Genomic DNA, 6,000 nt, shown 5'->3' with positions numbered 1-6,000 from the left:
TTGCATTTATTGCATTCCATTCTATTCCATTCCATTCCATGCCATTCCATTCAATTCTATTCCATGCGAGTCCATTCCATTCGAGTCCATTGCATTCCATTCCATTCGATTGCATTCCATTCAATTCTATTTCTTTCGACTCCATTCCACTCCATTCTGTTCCTTCCGATTCCTTTCCTTTCCATTCCAATCCATTTCGTTCCATTTGTTTCCATTCCATTCGAGACCATTCCACTCCAGTCCATACCATTCAAGTCAATTCCATTCCAGTCAATTCCACTCGAGTCCATTCCACTCCGGGCCATTCCATTATAGTCCATTCCATTCCAGTCCATTCCATTCGAGTCAATTCCATTCCATTCCATTCCATTCCATTCCATTCCATTCCATTCCATTCGATATCTTGCCTTTACACTCCCTTCTGTTCCATTCCATTTGATGCCATTCCATTCTATTCTATTCCATTCGAGTTCATTCCTTTTGAGTCCATTCCATTCCACTCCATTCAATGCCATTCCATTCAACTCCTCTCCATTCGACTCCATTCCATTCCATTTAGTTCCATCCTATTCCATTCCATTCCATTCATTTCCATTCCATTCCATTCCATTCCATTCCATTCCATTCCATTCCATTCCATTCCATTCCATTCTTTTCCATTCCATTCGAGTCCATTCCACTCCAGTCCATTCCATTCAAGTCCATTCCATTCCATTCCATTCGAGTCCATTCCATTCCATTCCATTCGAGTCCATTCCATTCCATTCCATTGGATTCGATATATTTGCTTTACACTCCATTAAATTCAATTCCTTTCGATTCCATTCCATTCCATTCCATTCGATTCCATTCCATCGATTCCCTTCCATTCAACTCCATTCCATTCGAGGCCATTCCATTACATTCCATTCTGTTTCGTTCAGTTCCAATCCGTTTGATTCCATTTTGTTCCAGTAAATTCCATTCAAGTCCATTGCATTCCTGTCTATTCCAATCAATTCCAATCCATTCGATTCTATTCCATTCAATTCTGTTCCACTCGATTTCACTCCGTTCCATTCCATTGCATTCCATTCTATTCCATTCCATTGCATTCCATTCCATTCCATTTGATTACATTCCATTTGATTCCATTCAATTCGAATCGATTACATTGCTATCCATGGCATTCAAGTCCGTTCTATTCCAGTCAATTCCATTCGTGTCCATTCCATTTCATTCCATTCCATACTATTGCATTCCATTCGATTCCATTCTATTCGAATAAATTCCATTCGAGACCATTGCTTTCGAGTCCTTTCTATTTGAGTCCATTCCATTTGAGTCCATTACTTTTGGGTCGATTCCATTCCATTCCATTCCATTCCATTCCATTCCATTCCATTCCATTCCGTTCCGTTCCGTTCCGTTCCATTCCATTCCATTCCATTCGATGCCATACAATTCGATTCTATTCCATTTGAGGCCATTGCATTCGTGTCCATTTAATTTCATTCCATTCCATTCCATTCGATGCCATTCCTATTGATTCTATTCAATTCGACTCCATTCCATTCCATTCCATCCGATTCCATTCCATTCTATTCTTTTCCCTTCCATTCCATTCCATTCCATTCGTTTCCATTACATTAGAGTCCATTCCACTCCAGTCAAGTCCATTCCATTCCATTCCATTCCATTATATTCGATGTCATTCCAATTGATTCTATTAAATTCAACTCCATTCCATTCTGTTCCATCCGATTCCATTCCATTCTATTCTTTTCCATTCCATTCCATTCCATTCCATTCCATTCCATTCCATTCCATTCCATTAGTTTCCATTACATTAGAGTCCATTCCACTCCACTCCATTCCATTCGAGTCAGTTCTGTTCCAGTCCATTCCACCGAGTCCATTCAATTCCATTTGATATCTTTCCATTACACTCCATTCCATTGTATTCCTTTCGATTCCATTGAGTTCCATTCTATTCGATTCCATTCAATTCAATTCCATTCCATTCGACTCCATTCCATTGCATTCCATTCCGTTTGAATCAAATCCGTTCGATTCCGTTCCATTCTATTGAATTCCATTCGATTCCATTCTATTTGAATAAATTCAATTTGAGACCACTCCATTCGAATCCATTCTATTGGAGTCCATTCCATTCGAGTCCAATACATTGGGTTCCATTCCATTCCCTTGCATTCGATGCCATTCCATTATATTCTATTCCATTAGAGTCCACACCTTTGAAGTCCTTTCCATTCCATTCCATTCCATTCCATTCCATTCCATTCCATTCCATTCCATTTCATTCCATTCCATTCGATGTCATTCAATTCGATTCTATTCTATTCGACTCCATTCCATTACATTCAGTTCCATTCGATTCAATTTCATTGTATTGTTTCCATTCCATTCCATTCTATTCAATTCGTTTCCTTTCCATTCGAGTCCATCCCACTCCAGTCCATTCCATTCGAGTTCATTCCATTCCAGGCCATTCCATTCGAGTCCATTCCATTCCATTCGATATCTTTCAATTACACTCTCTTCCATTCCATTCCATTCGATGCCATTCCATTCTATTCAATTCCATTCGAGTCCTTTCCGTTCGAGTCCTTTCCATTCCATTCCATTCAATGCCATTCCTTTTGAAAGTATTCCATTCAAATCTATTCCATTGCATTATGTTCCATTGATACCTTCCATTTTATTCCTTTAATGTCCATTCCATTCAATTCCATTCCATTCGTTTCCATTCCATTCGAGACCATTCCTCTGCAGTCCATTCCATTCCAGACCATTCCATTCCAGTCCATTCCATTCGAGTCCATTCCATTCCAGTCCATTCCATTTGAGTTCATTCCATTCCTTTCTATTCAATATCTTTCCATTAATCTCTCTTCCAGTAAATTCCATTCGATGCCATTCCATTCTATTCTATTTCATTCGAGTCCATTCCATTTAAGTACATTAGATTCCATTCCATTCCATTCTATCCGATGCCATTGCATTCGATTCTATTCCATTCTACTCCATTTCATTCCATTTCATTCCATCTGATTCCATTCCATTCTATTCCATTCCATTCCGTTCGTTTCCATTCCTTTCTAATCCATTCCATTCCAGTCCATTCCCTTCGAGTCCACTTTGTTCCATTCAATTCCATTCGAGTCCATTTCGTTCCACACGATTTCATTTGAGTCGATTCCACTTCTTTCCATTCCATTCGATATCTTTCCATTACACTCCATTCTATTCTATTCCTTTCAATTCCCTTCAATTCCATTGCATTCGGTTCCATTCCATTCGACTCCATTGCATTGACGTCCATTCTTTTCCATTCCATTCCATTCAGTTCGATTCCAATGCGTTCGATTCTATTTTGTTCCAGTCCATTCCAATCGAGTCCATTGAATTCCACTCCATTCCATTTGATTCCATTCCATTCAATTCCATTCAACTCGATTACACTAGGTTCCATTCCATTGCATTCCATTCTATTCCATTCGATTGCATTCCATTTCTTTCCATTTAATTACATACCGTTCAATTCCATTCCTTTTGAATCAAATACACTGCAATCCATTACATTCGAGTCCGTTATATTCCAGTCCATTCCATTCTGGTCCATTCCAATTAATTCCATTCCATTTGATTCCATTCCATACTATCGCATGCAATTTGATTCCATTCTTTTTCAATAAATTCCATTCGAGACCCTTCCTTTTGTGTCCATTCTATTTGAGTCCATTGCATTAGAGTCCATTACGTTTTGGTCCATTCCATTCCATTCCATTCCATTCCATTCCATTCCATTCCATTCCATTCCATTCCATTCGATGCCACTCAGTTCAATTCTATTCCATTTGAGTCCAATCCATTCCATTCCATACCATTCGTTGGCATTTCATTCGAATCTATTCCATTCAACTCCATTCCATTCCATTCCATTCGATCCGATTCCATTGCATTCTAACCCATTCCATTCCATTCCATTCCATTCCATTCCATTCCATTCCATTCCATTCGATTCCATTCCATTCCATTCTGTTCGATTCCATTCCCCTCGGTTCCACTCCTTTCCATTTTATTGTATTCCATTCTATTTCATCCCATTCCATGCCATTCGATTCTATTGTATTGCACTTGAGTCCATTCCATTAGAATCCATTGCATTCCATTACATTTGATTGCATTCCATTAGATTCTATTTCATTTGACTCCATTCCTTTCCATTCCATTCAATACGATTCCATTCCATTCTATTCCTTTCCATTCCAATCCATTCCATTCCATTATTTTCCATTCCAATCGAGACCGTTCCACTCCAGTCCATGACATTCGATTCCATTCTATTCCATTCCTTTCCATTCGAGTCCATTCCATTCCTTTCTATTAGATTCGATATATTTCCTTTACTTTCCATTCTATCTATTCGTTTCCATTGTATTCAATTCCATTCCGTTACATTCCATTCCATTCGTTTCCATTCCATTCGAGTCCATTGCACTGCAGTCCATTCCATTCGACTCCATTCCATTCCTTTCCATTCCTTTCCATTCCATTCCATTCAAGTCAATTCCATTCTGTTCCATTGGATTCGATATCTTTGCTTTACACTCCATTAAATTAAATTCCGTTCGATTCCATTCAGTACCATTCCATTCAATTCCATTCCATTTGATTCCCTTCCATTCGACTCCATTCCATTCGAGGACATTGCATTACCTTCCATTCCGTTTTGTTCGGTTCCAATCCGTTTGATTTCATTTTGTTCCATTAAATTACATTCGAGTCCATTCCATTCCTGTCTATTCCAATCAATCCCAATCCATTCGATTCCATTCCTTTCGATTCCATTCCAATCAATTTCACCTCGTTCCATTCCATTGCATTCCATTCTATTCCATTCCATTGTATTCCATTCCTTTCCATTTGATTCCATTCCATTCAATTCCATTCCATTCGAATCAATTACCATGCTATCCATGGCATTTGAGTCCGTTCTATTCCCGTCCATTCCATGTTTGTCCATTCCATTAGATTCCATACCACACTATTGCATTTCGTTCAATTCCATTCTATTTGAATATATTCCATTCGAGACCATTGCTTTCGCGTCCTTTCTATTTGAGTCCATTCCATTTGAGTCCATTACTTTTGGTACCATTCCATTCCATTCTATTCCATTCCATTCCATTCCATTCCATTCCATTCCATTCCATTCCATTCCATTCCATTCCGTTCCATTCCATTCAATGACATACCATTCAATTCTATTCCATGCGAGTCCATTTAATTCCATTCCATTCCATTCCATTCCATTCCATTCCATTCCATTCCATTCGATGCCATTCCAATTGATTCTATTTAATTTGACGCCTTTCCATTATCTTCCATCCGATTCCATTCCATTGTATTCTTTTCCCTTCCATTCCATTCCATTCCATTCCATTCGTTTCCATTACATTAGAGTCAACTCCACTCCAATGAATTCCATTCCATTCCATTCCATTATATTCGATGTCATTCCAATTGATTCTATTAAATTCGACTCCATTCGATTCTGTTCCATCCGATTCGTTTCCATTATAATCCTTTCCACTCCATTCCTTTCCATTCCATTCCATTCCATTCATTTCCTTTCCATTAGATTTCATTCCTCTCCAGTTCATTCCATTGGATTCGATTCCATTCCAGTCCATTCCATTCGAGTGAATTCCACTCCGTGCCATTCCATTCGACTCCATTCTATTCCATTCCATTACATTCAATATCTTTCTGTTATACTCCATTCCATTGTTTTCCTTTTGATTCCATTCAATTCCATTCTGTACGATTCCATTCCATTTGATTTCATTCAATTTGACTGCATTCCATTAGAATCCATTCCATTCCATTCCGTTCCATTTTTTCCATTCTGTTCCATTCAATTCCAATCTGTTCGATTCCATTTTTTTCAGTCCTTTCCTTTCGAGTTCTTTCCATGCCAGTTCATTCCATCGA

The 6,000-nt window shown here is 38.5% G+C and overlaps 3 annotated features.

Moving 5' to 3' along the window:
* Positions 488 to 1,471: an enhancer, noted in NCBI's record as "OCT4-NANOG-H3K27ac hESC enhancer chrY:13868331-13869314 (GRCh37/hg19 assembly coordinates)". NCBI's record gives its function as "activates a minimal SCP1, AML or CMV promoter by ChIP-STARR-seq in naive and primed H9 embryonic stem cells {active_cell/tissue: H9 hESC(naive and primed)}" and the evidence as "EXISTENCE:reporter gene assay evidence [ECO:0000049][PMID:30033119]".
* Positions 1,472 to 2,455: an enhancer, noted in NCBI's record as "OCT4-NANOG-H3K27ac hESC enhancer chrY:13867347-13868330 (GRCh37/hg19 assembly coordinates)". NCBI's record gives its function as "activates a minimal SCP1, AML or CMV promoter by ChIP-STARR-seq in naive and primed H9 embryonic stem cells {active_cell/tissue: H9 hESC(naive and primed)}" and the evidence as "EXISTENCE:reporter gene assay evidence [ECO:0000049][PMID:30033119]".
* Positions 2,456 to 3,439: an enhancer, noted in NCBI's record as "OCT4-NANOG-H3K27ac hESC enhancer chrY:13866363-13867346 (GRCh37/hg19 assembly coordinates)". NCBI's record gives its function as "activates a minimal SCP1, AML or CMV promoter by ChIP-STARR-seq in naive and primed H9 embryonic stem cells {active_cell/tissue: H9 hESC(naive and primed)}" and the evidence as "EXISTENCE:reporter gene assay evidence [ECO:0000049][PMID:30033119]".

This window comes from Homo sapiens, chromosome Y, assembly GCF_000001405.40.
Source record: "Homo sapiens chromosome Y, GRCh38.p14 Primary Assembly".
NCBI lineage: Eukaryota > Metazoa > Chordata > Mammalia > Primates > Hominidae > Homo > Homo sapiens.
Note: the sequence above shows the minus strand (reverse complement) of the source record. Positions and strands in the feature narration are given on the sequence as shown.